The following is a 15908-nucleotide window of genomic DNA, read 5'->3' as shown; positions in this document are numbered from 1 at the left end:
CCTGTCATTGTCCTTTATTTTATTTTATTTTATTTTATTTTATTTTATTTTATTTTATTTTATTTTTTACCTCTTTGGGCAGGTTCAGCCCCAGTTCACTCTTTGGAACTGCTGCTCAGAGGTTTCCAAATTCTGGGCACCTGTGTGTATGCAGCCAACTCTCAGCGGCCACTTTGAATGTTTCCATCTCTCTCTCACTTTCCCTCTCTTCTCACTTCTCCTTTGCATTTTCTGGTTATCTGTTGTCAGTGTAAGTCCTCGACGTTGCTCATATGATTAAACTGGAGCTAGGAAGACAAGCTTGGGGAAAGAGAGTTTGAGAGAATGAATGTGAATGAAGAGAGAAAGAGCGAGCGAGACCAAGACGGCAAGGCAGTGCACCCAAAACCGTGTTTTCCCAAGTCGCAATGGAAGTTATATGTGGGTTTATTTCTCATTTTGCATTGTCCTTTTTTCTCTCCACCACTAAGAATAACTGAGAGTTCACCGTGCACATCTTAAACACACATGCACATAATCAGATATATTAATGTAGAGTGTATATATATATATATATATAAAATCTAGTATTTAGAAACCCATTGGGCTATGTTGAATGTGCTTTATGACTAGGGAAAATAAAGTTTGCAGATTTTCCTGGGAATCACAGTGTGAGAGATGGGGCCTTTTTTTTTAAATGTGAGTTCTACTTCCGGGTATAACTTGATAAACTACCATATTTTAACAATAATTCCATTCTTGGTATAATTAATAGAAAATTAGTTTCTAAAAGTAAAAATTAGGTCAGAAAAGGAGATTATTAAAATGTACAATTGCAACAGCCTGACCCTGCAAACCCCATTTATGCAGCCGAGTTCCAAAATGCTTTTGAGTGCTTGATGACTCACAGTGGCTTCTTCCTCTGGCTGGTCTAGTGTAGGCAAGAGGTTAGCCGACTAGGGGAAATTAAAACAATATTGTACATTATATTGTTACCAGCCATCGAAAAGCCTATTTTGTATGCAAGACAGCGATGCTGAGATATATGGAGAGCCCTAGGCTAAGTACAGAAGATAATTACATTTGGAATTTTACTGAGTTAAGTCATTTACAGCTTCAAATAGTTGCAGAGAAAAATCAGCCAAAATACACTTAAACTTTTTGTTGTGACTTTTCAGGATAGAAAGGATTTTTTTTTAATTAGTTATCATCTTATATGACCAATTACATTTTTTTAGTAGGATTTGTCTCAAAAGTTATTTTTGTTAGCCAGTTAATATTTTTCCATTCAAACTCTGGATATAAACTTATTAGAACAGTAAGATATTTATACAAGAAAAGGGCACATCATAAAATCTCAACATTTTAAAATAAGTCTTTGGAAACATCTTTAAATTAACATGTTTATTGAGAAGAAAAAAACAGTAGTAGATGTAACCCACCCACAGAGTTCTTTTATGATTAAGACACAGCCCTTGACAAACTGGATTCAAAAGAATAAACTGGAAGATCTGGCCTATAATCACAGCCCTTTGGGAGGCCAAGGCGGGTGGATCACAAGGTCAGGAGTTCGAGACCAGCCTGGCCAATATGGTGAAACCCCGTCTCTACTAAAAATACAAAAATTAGCCAGGTGTGGTGGCGGGCACCTGTAATCCCAGCTCCTCGGGAGGCTGAGGCAAAAGAATTGCTTGAACCCGGGAGGTAGAGGTTGCAGTGAGCCAAGGTCGCGCCACTGCACTCCAGCCTGGGCGACAGAGTGAGACTCCATCTCAAAAAAAAAGAGAAAGAATAAACTACCTTCCTACCAGAATTTGTACATATTGGTGGTACTTATAAAGTGATAGGAGCTCCTGCATTTATTTATATGATAACATTAAATTCTTAATGATGGGCTAAAATAAATCGTTGACTAGAATTGTCATGGTTTGTCGGGTAGCCGTTTCTAGACTACAGATTAGAGTGTTCAGCCATTGTTAATTACTCAAGAAGTGAGCATTTATTTTATGAATTATTCTTCGCTCTCCACAAAAAGAGGTCAGGAGAAGGAAAAGATTTAGACCATCATCAGTAAATTAAGTGTTTATTTCCTGGCAGCTTTCATGTTGTTTTTTGGTGGGTGTGGCCTAGAAGTAGTACAAACATACAAGGATTCTTTGATTATTTATAGATTTCATTTATTTCTAGATTTCCTTTTATCCTTCAGCTATAAATCAAACTGAAGGCAGATTTTTCAGCTTTGATAGACATCAAAGATGATCTGGCCAGAAGTTAGTACAATGTGGTCGTTACCTGTGATGTTCCTCGTAATGTTTTTGTCGGGGAGTTTGCCGTAATGGAAGAAGGGACAGGCTAATTCTGACGTGTTCCATTTCTGCAAAGCTTGAGGGAATTATCAGAGTGATGACATAGACCTCGTTGAGAGCAGGGGTTAGCAACCCACAGACCCCAGGCCAAATCTCACAAGCTAAGGAATGTTTTTATATTTTAAATGGTTGAGGGAAAAATCTGAAGAACATTATTTCGTGACTGGTGAAAAGTCTAGGAAATTCCAATTTCAGTGTCCATGCGTAAAATTATATGAGAACACAGCCATACTCATGCCCATTCATCTACTGATTACCTATTGCTGCTTTTGCACTACAGTAGGAGAGTCAAGTAATTGAAACTGAAATCTACATGGCCTGCAAAGCTGAAAATATTTATGATCTGGCTCTTACAGAAGTTTGCCAGGCACCCCTGGTCAAGAGGATCAGAAAAACAATTTATATTATAGTATTAGCAACTTGTCCCCTTAGGTTCTGGCTGCCTAAGCTCTGCTCACCCGCTTTTATCTCTTTCTTCTTAGCCAGGGTGTATAAAACCAGTCTAGTCTCCACATGGGTCAATTTTCCCTACTAGCTCTTCACATGGCAAGTGCCTGCCAGTTTTGGAGGTCATGGAAAGCTGGACGAGGGATAGTAATTCATTCTTTCATCCATGCATCCATCCATCCATTCATCCACCCAGACATCCATTCATCCATCCACTTATTTAGCAAGCATATTTCGAACCTATCAGATAGCAGGAATCTTGCTGGAGCTACTGCAGAGTACAATGATTAAAACAGATAAAGCTGCCCTCCAAGTTCTTACACTCTAGAAGGAAGAATAGACTACAAAATAATTTGCTAGTGCGACTGTCCATTCATTGGGCAGTGCTAGCTGACATTAACAGGTTCTTGAGAACACCAGAAATTTATTCAAAAGAGAGTTTCAGTGCTAGAAAGGGGCCAAGCCAAAGCAGGTTATATCCATTAGTTATCACTCAATCAGATGAAATAGATAAGAAAATGTTAGCAATTTTTAGTATTTAAAGAACCCTTGCCCTGAGACACAGTTAAGAGAAGCCTTAACCAAGGATTCGATTGAGAGTCTTTGAGTTGCAGACCTACCACATATGGGGGCATTTGGGACACAGTACAGTTATACTCGAATCTATTCTTTATAGGCTTCCTCCTTCTCCGCAGTTCAGCATTGCTAGGTTTGTGCTGTTGCATTTGCCACTTAACATACCAGTGTCTAGAAACATACTTTTTAACTTACTTGACTACCAGTCATTGTGCCCATAGAACCTGAATTATTGGGGCAATCAGGTCCCTCCAGCAGCAGGAACACTTAAAGAGATGTGCTTGTCGTCAAACAGCCTATTTCCGTTTTCTGTTGGCATCGTCCCTCCCTTGTTCTCTCAGCCACTGACTGGTGCATCACCTCCTTTAGAGGGGATTACCTGCACATTACTGACCCAAAGCCTATTTCGTATTTCTTAAAGCATTTATCAGTCCAGGAAAAACCTGAACCTCCAAGTATCTCAGTGTGTTACAAAATTATCATTGATTAGCTTGAACTTGAAAAACATTTGTCCCACGTAGCACTACAGGAAAGAGCAGTTAAGTTTTCATCAATTTCCAAAGGGGGATGATCACTGTATTAGAGTAGGAGGACAAATCTCCCCTGCCACTCAGACTCACAAGACCTCTCTCTTCAGCATGGTACGTAAGTGTTCACATGTGGTAGAGATAGACCACACATGTGCCCCATCGTAAAAGCAAACCCAGTAAGCTCAGATTGAATCTTACCATATACATCGATGGAGGTTCAGGATGTCTAACCTAGAGGGTCATCATAAAAGGATTCCACAGGACAATTCAGAGGGCACAGTAGCTGTAGAAGCAACCAAAGCTGGTGAAGGTCACTTAAGTGCTGTGTACCTAGACAGCCTCCTTGAATCTAAACCCCAGAAAACTTTCACCCAAAATGGAAGGCCCTTGTGTCTCTGATCTATCAGACAAACCTCCCTAAAGAAAAAGATGCAATTTTTCCAAAATAACTACTGTTAGCCATAGGGGATAGTGGCTGGAGATGTTCCCCTTCACAGAGCTATCTGTACAATACCAAACTTGAATTAAACTGAAAAGCTTTCAAGGCTGTACTGGTGAGATTTCAGGAAGCTGGGCAGAAATAAAGACAATGGGTTGTGGAGACTGATTTAGACTGTCTAATCAGCACTGTGCATGACAGCTGTCCTGTCCCTGTGTATTTAAAATATGACTTGAGGCCGGGCAGGCGTGGTGGCTCACGCCTGTAATACCAGCACTTTGGAAGGCTGAGGCGGGCAGATCACCTAAGGTCGGGAGTTCGAGACCAGCCTGACCAACATGGAGATTACCCCATCTCTAAAAACACAAAATTAGCCAGGCACAGTGATACATGCCTGTAATCCCAGCTACACAGGCGGCTGAGGCAGGAGAATTGCTTGAACCTGGGAGGTGGAGGTTGCAGTGACCCGAGATTGCGCCATTGCATTGCAGCCTGGGCAATAAGAGCAAAACTCCATCTCAAGAAAATTAATAATCATAAAATAAAATATGACTTGATTTACGAAACCACAGTTTCAATAGAAATACCAATTACAAAAGGCAAGGTACATCTATGTTTGTTAAATTATTGTTGAAAGATGTAAAAATATATGGTGAATGTTTTCTTAGCGGTAGAAAGAATGTTTATGTAGAGCTTGTTAACAGGGAAGGGTTGGTTAATTCCATTCTCTTGTTGCAACCTTCTACTGGTCTTATTTGGAGAAGAGTCAAGAAGACATCTCAGTGGGCCTTCTGAGCCTTTTCAAACATTTCCTACTGCATTTCATTATTGCAAAGACAGTTATAATTTTTAAACATTTTACCAGTGGACCCCAGCTATTAACTGGGATCTAAAAGTGTAAACCCTGAGAGGTGTGTGAGTTCCTTATACTATACACATAGACACCTAACAGTGAGACAGACACCATAAAAATCATTTGGGTCGATGACATACATGGCTTTTTGAAATCAGGGAATGCAGTAAGATTTCATCTGTTCTTTTTTGACAGATTCTTTTGGAATGATGTACAGATGAGATGAGTTAGAAATGGAATGGAGCAAAGTTCCCATAATCAGTATACATAATCTTATACAGGTTATGAAATGTGCAGTCTTCCCTCCACCCCCACCATGACAGAGGGACAGAGACACAGGAACTAGAAAGTTGTTGAGGATAAGAACTCCCCACTGAGAAATGCCATGGCCAGGATTGTAAGGAAACACTTGAAGCTTCCGCGATATTGGGCCCCCACTGTCCACCGGCCGTGGGCCTAGGGATTTAAATTCATATGAATCCAGATTACTTGGGTCCTCTTAGGTGGGACATTCATATGAACTCTTCCAGCCTCTAAGCTAAAGAAGAGATGTCACAAAAAGTTGCAGTGGTGGTTGGATTTTAATTCCGTTTGGGGAAAAGGGGAAACCATCTGATTTCACAGACAGAAAAAAAAAAAATACAAAAAACATCTGACAGAATTGACTTCACTTAGGAAGCTGAGACAGTGGTACAGATACATATTTCTGATCACATGTAGTGGTTTTAATTTGTTCTGTGATCATGTGACATTGCTAAACTGCTGTATATTTTTTCTGATGGATGAAGATGTCCTGATGTTTTCATCATGTGTCATCGGGGCAGGTTCAGGACAGGCTCCCTACAACCCCTCAGCCTCTAGGCCCTTTAAAATGAATATTGAAAGCAGGCAAGGGAAAAAGGAATCAACCAAACCAAGGTTGATCTGCCTGGCAGGCGACGGGGGTGGAGGTGTGTGTACCTTGTATTCTTTAATGATTTTATTCCATTCAGTCACTACTTACCAAGCACCTATTATATAGGGAGCACTGGATACAGATAGTAAGGTGGTGTGGCCTCTTCCCGTAATACACAACCTAGTAGGGTAAGACCAGGATGCCTTTAACTTCCCTGCCAGGCAGAGTTTCTAAAAGCAAGGGGTGAGGGATTGGGGAAGGTGACAGTGGAAAGGGTTGTTGGCAAGGACATTCCAGGCCAAGGGAGCCATGGAAGACGTTGCCTAGATTGTAGGATAAGGAAGAAAGGATAGTGGAAGGATATATTGCTCTTAAAATTAATCTGTCTGTTTAACACGAAATAGGGTGACCAACTGTCCCAGTTTACTTTCTTGGACTGAAGGGATTCCTGGGAGTTGGGATTTTCAGTTTCAAAACTGGAAGAGTCCTGGGCAAGCTGGGAGGAGTTGGGTCACCCTACTCCACTAGCTGTGGGAGAGAGCTATTGAATGCCCCATCTTCTGCTTGTAATTATTTCATCTGGCTTGGAAACCATTTGACTGGCCAGCTGTTGAGCTCCTGCTGTATGCCAGGGCACTGTCCTAGGTGCCTTATGTCCCGAATTTCTTGGAATCCCCACAGTCCCTCTGTGAGTACACACCACCCTATTTCCTTGATTCTAAGAGTCACTTTTTTTTCTTTTTCTTTTTCTTTTTCTTTTTCTTTTTCTTTTTCTTCTTTTGAGACGGAGTTTTGCTCTGTTGCCCAGGCTGGAGTGTAGGTGGCAGGATCTCGGCTCACTGCAACTTCCACCTCCCGGGTTCAAGCGATTCTCCTGACTCAGTCTCCCAAGTAGCTGGGACTATAGGCATGTGCCACCATGCCCTGCTAATTTTTGTATTTTTAGTAGAGACAGGTTTCATCATGTTGGCCAGCATGATCTCAAATTCCTGAGCTCAAGGGATCCGCCTGCCTCGGCCTCCCAGAGTGCTGGGATTACAGGCCAGTGTGCCCAGGTAGGAGTCACTTTTTAAAAGAAAAATATAACATTTGGAAATCAATATATGTCTTACATTTAATGAGTGTGTTTAATGTAATGTTTCTTCTCATTCTTTGAGAAGGTATTACTAAATCCATGGTTATTTTAACTATCACTGGCCTCTTAGAGTCAAAGAAATAATTTGCAGGGATCCCTCCCAGATGAGGAAACTGAAGTTTAGGAGGTCTGATTAACTTGTTTAATGCCAATGGCGAATAAGGGCAGAGCCCAGGAGGTTAACCCAGCCTTTGTAGCCTGTGCTCCTTTTATTGTGGGATCCTGCCTTAACGCTTCCACCCAGAGGATCATTGTGGCCCAGCTGGGCTCTACGCAGGAACTGGTTTTAAAACCCGGCTTTGGGGGCCATGCCACTCTGCCTTGCGGAGCTCTGTCCTGGGCATTCCATGGTAGCAAGGCAAGGCTGGAGTCCGGTGACACTGGGATCACTCCAACATCTCCCAAATCATCTACACCAGGAATTGTAAGCTCTAAGAAAATGTCAGCAGGGAGAAAAGTGCACAAGTTTCAGTAGCAGAGGGAGACATTAATCCTAACACAAATCAATTACCGTACGAACTTTACATGTGATTACTGTACCATTAGTGGTGCTATTTGTAATCACACCAGCCTCCTAGACTTTAGCAAATTTATTATCTGTAATGTATCCCCCTTTGGCCCTGTCTAACCCTGTTTGAGGCAATACTCAGGACAGTTCCTATACTAGCGGCCTCACAGAGCCTCCTGATATGCCCTGCACAAGCCCTGAGCACGTCGGGGAAAGAGAGGTCCTAACAGCACGGTAGTTCCATATTGCCAGTGCTTTGTAACTGGAGCCAAGAAAAAGAAGAGAGAGAGTCTCTGGGTTTCTCACTTCCATGTCCTTCTGTGAAAACCACGACACTTATTTTTCATAATTTAAAATCCTGCCTTACTCTGGGAGCATTAGAATTCCTAGACTATGACTTAGTATTAGTGTGCGTCTGCTTTAAATGTCAAGAGAGTCTTTAATAATAACATGTAAGGAACGTTAAGATGGTGACAGAGTACAATAAAAGTAGGGAAATTCTTCGATTGGGGTGCAATGAGCCATATATTGCCCACCACCTGAATGCGGTAGTTGGTGTGAAAGAACTCATTTAAAAGTTTTTCACTGGTACTAAGTTCTGAAGCCATAGTTTGACAAGGTGGGTCAAAAATAATTGATAAATGCTCAGTTTGGTAGAGTAATTTGAGTTCTGCTCCTTCTAGTCACTGCTTTTTCTCCCCCTTGTTTTTCTTCTTTTCATCATATGTACGTCAGAGACCTGTGTTATTGGATATACCCTGCCTAAGTAACTGGATATACCCTGCCTAAGTAACTGGATATGCTTGGGCCACATCGGGTTAATCTCTTTGGATCATCATTGTATACGAAACTACTGAGGAAACGTATACAGCCACTGTTTAAGGCCTTCTCAGTCCGTGGCAGAAAGTAGTGTCTCTCACTTAACTTGATTAAACTTGGACACTTGGGGTCCTTATTTAAAAATACCTACTTCCAAGCCTCACTGTTGGAGTGTTGGCTCCAGCATGTTTAGGTGAGACCGCAGTCGTTTCACTTGGAGATCATCATTGTATGGGATAATCTGAACTCATGCATTCATTTAGGTGCCTCTTAAAACTCCATGTGCCCCCCTTCCATGGAGATTCTTTGAAAAGACACCTTCTTTTCATAATTTAAAATCCCGTCTAACTCTAGGAACAGTAGTTCAGCATGAGAGCAGGGAGGGAGACTAAGACCTATGATTTGAGTTATTGTCCCAGGTGATTCTTAGAATCACACTAGTGTGGGAAACTCAGACCAAGCATCATACAACTGGGACCCTAGTCTTATTTCTGCCCCTTCCCAGTTCCCTGACCTCAGATATGTTTACCTTGCAAACCTCAGTTTCCCCAATTATAAAACAGAATAGGATTAATGGATTTGAAATAGCCACAGTAGCCTTTACCTCTGTTAAATCAAAGGAGTGTCTTGGCCCTTTCTTCTCATCTGTCCTCAAGAAGTCTAGCATTTTTACACATACAAAGCCCTTCATTTATTTCAGCAGAGTTTTGTTTCTCACGAGTGAGAACTGCCAAATTGGCCTTAAAATGATTAGTCCTCCTGACAACATAGAAAATGGTGATGTTAAATGAACCCCAAACCGTGTTCCCTTTTCTCTGTTAAAATAATGAGTTTAAGATTAATCTTAGTTTGTATCTTTGAGGATGTTGAATGGAACTCCTAGCCTTTGGCAGTTATCAGTGGCTCGGGTGCAATACACAAATTCTGATCTTTCACAGCCCAGACTGTCTTAAACCTAATTTGAGGCCATGGCTAATAGAAGAGGAGATGACCTATTTCGGCCAAAGGGTAGAAAAATATTTGCCCAAGATGAGGGGAAGATACAGTAAGAACCTGAGACAAATTGATAGGAAGTGGGCTTCATCTTTCCTTTGCTTTCTGTTCCATTCTTTAAACGATCAAAATTATTTCCCTTCCCAGTTAGCCCAACTGCAAACTCCATTGAACCCCTGTTAGGCAGATCCAGATTTCAAACATATACTCAGCCAGTAGTTTAAATACACTGGACCGATTTCACTTTTCTTAAAAAAAAAAAAAAAAATTAGAAAGTTGTTGAGCATTCATAAAGCACTAGTCATTTTGCTAAGCTTGTTATGTGCAAGACCTCATCTGATCTTCAGAACACCCCTTCAGAGTTCAGAGATGATCATTCCGTATTTAGAAGGAGAAACTTGGTAATTAAAAAGGTTACATAATGTGCTGAGTCACTGAGCCAGGATTTGAACACAGCACAGTGTGATTGTTGTGTCCACATCCTTAACCGTTTTCACCCTGCCATCGTTCTACAGAATGGTTGAACAAATTCAGTAGATTAAAATGACCCCTGCACAAGCAGCTCCCTCTAATGTTTAGGCCGTTGTCATTTCCTTTATGCTAGATACTCATTCCATACCCACTGGGAAAGTCTTTTAGAGAGTAATTCTCTTCTCTGATATTTCAACACAAATTTTCTCTTTAATTTGCCAACCAAATTTTAGTGGGCCTTCGGATTGAATGTCTCAACCTCCTTTTCTTTGCTTTTCATGGAATTCATAGTTTAAGAGGAAATGCTGGAATATGCTTGCTAATATTAAATGTTTGTATCCTCATATTTTAATAATGAAAGGATGCCGTGAAAATTGATGGGGATGGTGAGCTCATGGGATGATGGCATAAAAAGTAATAAAGAATGTGAAAGCTTTTGGAAGGAGCAGTTAGTATTATAAATGCAAGACAGACATTGTAGACAGGATGTGGTTTCAATAGGTGTGAATGTTTAGCCTTTTTGCCTAAAAAAAAGAAAAACTGAATTTGGCGGGTTTCTTTCTGTAATTGTTAAAACAGTTTGTGTTAGAGCTGTAATTGATTTAAAGTCTAAAACTCATTCAAGAGTATGATACTACACATTAGTTTTCACTAACCAAACAAAACCAAAAAGTTAGATTTTTGCCTTTTTGTGTAACCTTGTCCATCTTTTAGAAAAGCAGAACTAGGGTGGTACAATTGAGGTTCCTGGATAACTCTCAGAATTGACGATGAATTCTAAGCAATGTGCTCATGGAAAAATATGAAAATGTTTCCGATGGCAGTTACTTCCAGGGTTTATGAAAGTGGCTGTGTATACAAATTCTAGGTATGTGTTTGCAATGTAGTGTTGCTACCTTTGGCTGACCAGTAAAAGATCAGTTTGGTAGACATTTGGATGGAAATATGGAGAAGATGTTTCCTTTAAATGCCCAGGATTTGGATTTTCCTTATACCACACTTAGTGGTACAAGGTATAATTGCTACATCAACAACGTTTACCCCCAAATTAAGTCACAATTAATATTCAGCAGACTTCAGTAAATATCACCTCTCACCCTTTAATTTGTATTGTTCAGCATGACAGACTACTGCTTGTTTTTAAGAAAAATACAACTGATTTCTTAATTCCTTCTGGCCTTTGATAACTTTAAAACAAAACATTTCTTAAAAAGTCTGAGTATTTGACATCAAAAAGCTTAGGATACTTACATTTTAAAAAAAATAATAATAATGGCAGAAAAATAGCATTCCCAACATTTTAATTGTTCTAAGCCTCTTTGGAAAACTAAATTCCTTTAGCATTATGTGTTCAGAGAATCTTTTAGTTTGGCTGTTCAATAACTTACTAAAGAACAGAGGAGGAATACCATCAAGTGGCTCCTAATATGGTATCATTTTCATTTCCTGTTTGTTGAAAGATAAATGCTAACACTGTACGGCTGTTTTTTTCTTTCTTTCTTAATTTATTCCTCCCTGAACCACAAGGGAATAAAAAGAAAAAAAAAATCAAATGTGATATGGCTGGAGACTGAGTCATCCAGTAGGGATAAGCTGAAAGCTTTTTCCCTTCTCCCTTTTGTACGGTTTCCCTTTTCTCCATCTTTCCACAATCCCCGACCCCTGTCCCCCTTCTTCCTTAGAAAATAACTGTATTTAAATAGATAAACTATATTTGTTTTTTTATTTGGGAATAATTTGACTTTAAAAAACTTTATTTTTAAAGGATTTAAGGTTAATTATGTGACAGAACTAATGAGTCCCTCCTTAAATCTAAGGCATTATTTTGGACAAATGATGTACCAAAGTATTGAAATTAAACTGTATTCTCTCCCTCTCTCCTCTCTCTCTCTCATATTAATCTCTTCTCCATCTTCCCTAAATGCCACAGCTGTTCTCTTGACTATCCCTTTATCTTTAGGGGATATATTTCCCACTTCTTTTACAGAAGTAATCGTTATGTGTCCCCTATGCCCAACTGTCTTGAACTATTGAAAATATCGAGTTAAAGCAGTCCAAGCGAAGCATAAAGGATGTAGCTTCCAATCAGTAGTATTTGAGTGCCTACTATGTATATCCAATTAGAAACTTGTGTGACTTCAGAAGATCTTTTTTTATAGAATAAGGAGACTTAAATTATTAAGATGAGACTAGCACATAGCAGGTACTCAAATCTTGAGTAAATTGAATGAGCAAGCTTGTTCTACACTCGTTTGAAAATGGGAACCTGTCATCCCTTGGAGCCTGCTCCTGGCCTGCTAATATCATTTGCCAGCACTGTCTTAATCTATGCCTACCTGTTAAGAAAGATGAAGCTAATTTTGCATAAATGTATCCATCTGTCTAGGAGTTTTTCCACAACCACAACAGATGAATTTATGGGTTTTAGCTACCTAGCTCACTTTCCCTTGGCTTTTCTCATGAATAAGGTTGGTTAATAGGCATGATTCACATTTGTCTTTTAGCTGTCTGTGTTCCATGGGACTGCGTGGTGCCAGCAGGTCTAGAACTTCCCAGTTAAAGTCTAATGCATCTTGTGTTGAGAAATCTCACACCAACACCTCCGGTTACTTCGAGTTTGGCAATGGTCATGTAGATTTCAAAAACAAGCAATGAAAATGATTTTATCATGTGCTGTGGTGCCATAGCGTAATTTGTAATATGTATCATTTTTGGTGTTAAGAGCCATGCATCTTTATTCAGAGAAATAACAAAGCATTTTCTTCTTGCCAGCTTGCAAAAGACAAAGAACGCCTGCAAGCCATGATGACCCACCTGCATGTGAAGTCTACAGAACCCAAAGCCGCCCCTCAGCCCGTAAGTATTGATCCCCACCAAGGGGAAAAAAACAAAACTCACAGTATTCCTTTTCTACTTCCCCACCCCAAATGGAGGAAGGAGGACCAGCCTACTTTGGTGGAGCTTTGAGTTTTGAGGGCCTTAGATTCATGCGACTGTTTCTGGTTATCCTTTATGATGAAGGTCATATGCTAGGCATTTGGGGAGATACAGGATGATTCAGATATGGTCCTTGCCCATAAGACTCAAGCACCCAGCTCTTCTTTAAAGGCAGAATGATTGGTGCCCAAGCAAGGTACTGAAATACATTATGAGAGCTCCCTGGAAAAAGAAAATCTTTCTGAATGGTAGGAACGCAGAGAAGACAGCTAAACCATGACAGCAAAGCAAAGAGGCATTTCAGCTCGGGTAAGCTGAGAGACAGTGGTGTGTAGGAAAAAGAGCAGGGAGTAGTAGTCCAGTCTAACTCTTAACAGAGGAAAGACATAGGAAACCTAGTGTTGGAATAGTCAGAGGCTAAATTATGGAGAGGCTCTAATGGTTACTAAGGAGTTTGAAATGAAAATTATTCCTTCACAGTTAGGAGACCAAACACAGTATACTGAAATTACATTTAATTTGTAAGAATCTCCTCTTTCTTGCCTTATTCCCTTTTACTGGACCTTGAAGGGTGTCATCCCAGCACAGGCTGTTAATACCGAAGCAGAAGGATCGTGTCTGAACCTAAAAGTTTGTCTTGGACCTCCTTCCTTGTAATAAATCGATCTCTTTAACGGTCATATTCCTCTTACGTTTCTAAAATTCTCCTAGTAGCTTTAACTGATTATTCAAAATGGAGACAGTGCTTTGCTTCTTGATTTTAAGATTTGTAAAATTTAAAGGTACACTGCCTTTATTTGATTTTGCTTGGAGTCACTGTGTGAAAATTAATTGAGCGTTGACAATCTATAGTTAGTACCAGCGATTTTAATCAATATGCAATGATGCAGCGTAATGGCAAAGTATTGGTTTATCTGTTTTGACTGATTTTTTTCTATAAATAAAGCAAACATACACCCATATATGTATGATTTATGGTGATAGAAATAAAACGGAGTCAGACTATTAACCCAGCAAATATGGTAGCCTGCCAAGATGCAGTTGGCAGGCAAAATTAATGTCTGAAACAGAACACATTACTGAGATAAAGGACATAAAATTATTAAACACTTCGTGCATCCATTTTTACCAGGAAGGAGTCCTTAGTTTCCGTGTATTATTTTACAGTAAATGGCTATAGGACTAGATGTGTAGGCTACCAAAAAGAAAGGAAAAAAAAGAACCAGGTCATTCACTGTTGTGGCATCAGTAGTCAGCTGTGCTATTTCTAGCAACCCCTCCTTCTAGAACCCAGCTAAGCAAAATGGTGAGCCTCTGAGACAACTTGGCTGAAGTCATCTCGAAGAAGCATAGCCAATTGCACAGGGCATTCACTGCCTTGGAACTTTTTGAAAGTCTTCAGATGGCTTTAGTGAAATGGTTTTCCCAGATTGAAGGGTTCAAATCTTTGCACCTAGCAGCAAGCGAGAGAATGAGATTATCTCTGTCTTCCTCCACGGATTAAAAACAGTGATAGGATAATGGTTGGACCCAGCACTGTAGGCCTGGATCTTGGGGCTTCTTGGGAAGAGGAAGGATACAATTAAAGATAAGGAACTACAAAACCCCGTAGGGCGCTTGGCGAGTGACCGGGCTGGGTGTTGGCAGAGAGCACCATGTGTGTAAGCCCCTGTGGGCCACAAAAGGACCATTGGGATTCTTCACGTGGACCAGTGTTAAGCAGCTGGTAAACAGGGAAAAGCATGGGGGGAAGTGAACAGGGATGGAAGGTTTGTCTTGATTAGTATTAAAAAAAAATGTTTTACTTTCTAGAAAATTGTAACTTTGAAGGGGACCTCCTACTAAATTTATTTTTAACTGCTCTATTGAAAATTCTCTACCACTAGTCAACATTATCTCTTAGTAGCTCAGCACAGTATTTCTTTATTAGAAGAAATCGGCACGAATATTTTTGACTGAAAAATTAATAGCTTTTGAATTCATACACAGCAGGTTTTCTTTTGCAAAGAAGTCCAATATCGCTGCACAGCACTTCTATAACCATTTATTTAGAGTCCAAGTCAAACCTTTGACAGCTAGAGCAGCGCTACAAGCCAATATAAAGAACTCCAAGATGTAAACCAACAATAGGCCGTCTGTGTGAGGTTTGCCATTGTCAAATACATAGATTGTTTGGATTAGTTTATGTAAATGTACTGTTGTATTACCCTTTGAAAAAAAAAAAGATCACATTTGTGTATGAAAAGTGGTTCCCTTCACAGGCAGCATTATAAATTCCTTATCCTTTAACTTACATGTAAGAAGTAAAAATTGGTGCCTGACAAGCAGATATTGTGTGACACTCTGTTGTCGGAGTGAACCTGCCTTCTTTTCATTTATTGGAAAATAGAAAATTTTATTAAAGATACCATCTTATAAATCAGGAATTATTAAAATATGTATAGGTGAGGCATTGGGAAATTAATTATAAAAGGTAGACGTGTAATGTTTTGCATAAATTTTCACTTCTTTGCCAAAAAGAAAAAAAAAAGGGCACACACATACAGCAAACCCTTGATGCTTTCAACTTTAAGGGCCCAGAGCTATCTGGTGACTGATTCTCATGTGCAAAATATTCCCTGCAGTCTGTAATTAATTTATTCCGCCCTAAATAATAGAATGCATGGCGTTTGTTTGAATGAGTATCCTTCTAGAATCTTTAATTTGAAACAGGCAGTCACCAGGATTCAAATCTAACCATAGATGGGGACTTTCATGTTACAACCTTGCCAGTAAGTTCATGAAGCTTTTTCTTTTTTCCATTTCTGTGTAGAAGAAACCTCGTGTTTATTTTAAAATTCTTAGTCACTAAGTGATAGAATGCTTTGCTGTAAATGTTGCTTTTCACTAAATGCCATTTGGGTGTTAAGTGTCATTTGCTGTATCCAATCATCCAACCAGTCCTCATTTCATTGCATCAA

General features: G+C 39.7%; 1 protein-coding gene across 18 annotated transcripts in view, besides 1 other annotated feature; it reads left to right on the top strand.

The window, feature by feature from the left end:
- FOXP1 (forkhead box P1) overlaps window positions 1-15908 on the top strand; it is a 629271-nt gene that overhangs the window by 583118 nt on the left and 30245 nt on the right. For all 18 annotated transcript variants that reach the window (NR_146143.3, NR_146142.3, NM_001244810.2 and 15 more), the window contains one exon: window positions 12784-12867. Coding sequence is in view for 16 of the 18 variants with exons in the window: in NM_001244810.2 (NP_001231739.1) it covers window positions 12784-12867 (84 nt within the window). In the remaining 2 variants the exon portion in view is untranslated. The remainder of the gene's footprint in view (window positions 1-12783; window positions 12868-15908) is intronic.
- Window positions 14582-15623: an enhancer, noted in NCBI's record as "VISTA enhancer hs864". NCBI's record gives its function as "enhancer in: heart[4/9]" and the evidence as "EXISTENCE:transgenic organism evidence [ECO:0001131][PMID:17130149]".

This window comes from Homo sapiens, chromosome 3 (genome assembly GCF_000001405.40).
Source record: "Homo sapiens chromosome 3, GRCh38.p14 Primary Assembly".
Taxonomy (NCBI): Eukaryota; Metazoa; Chordata; class Mammalia; order Primates; family Hominidae; genus Homo; species Homo sapiens.
Note: the sequence above shows the minus strand (reverse complement) of the source record. Positions and strands in the feature narration are given on the sequence as shown.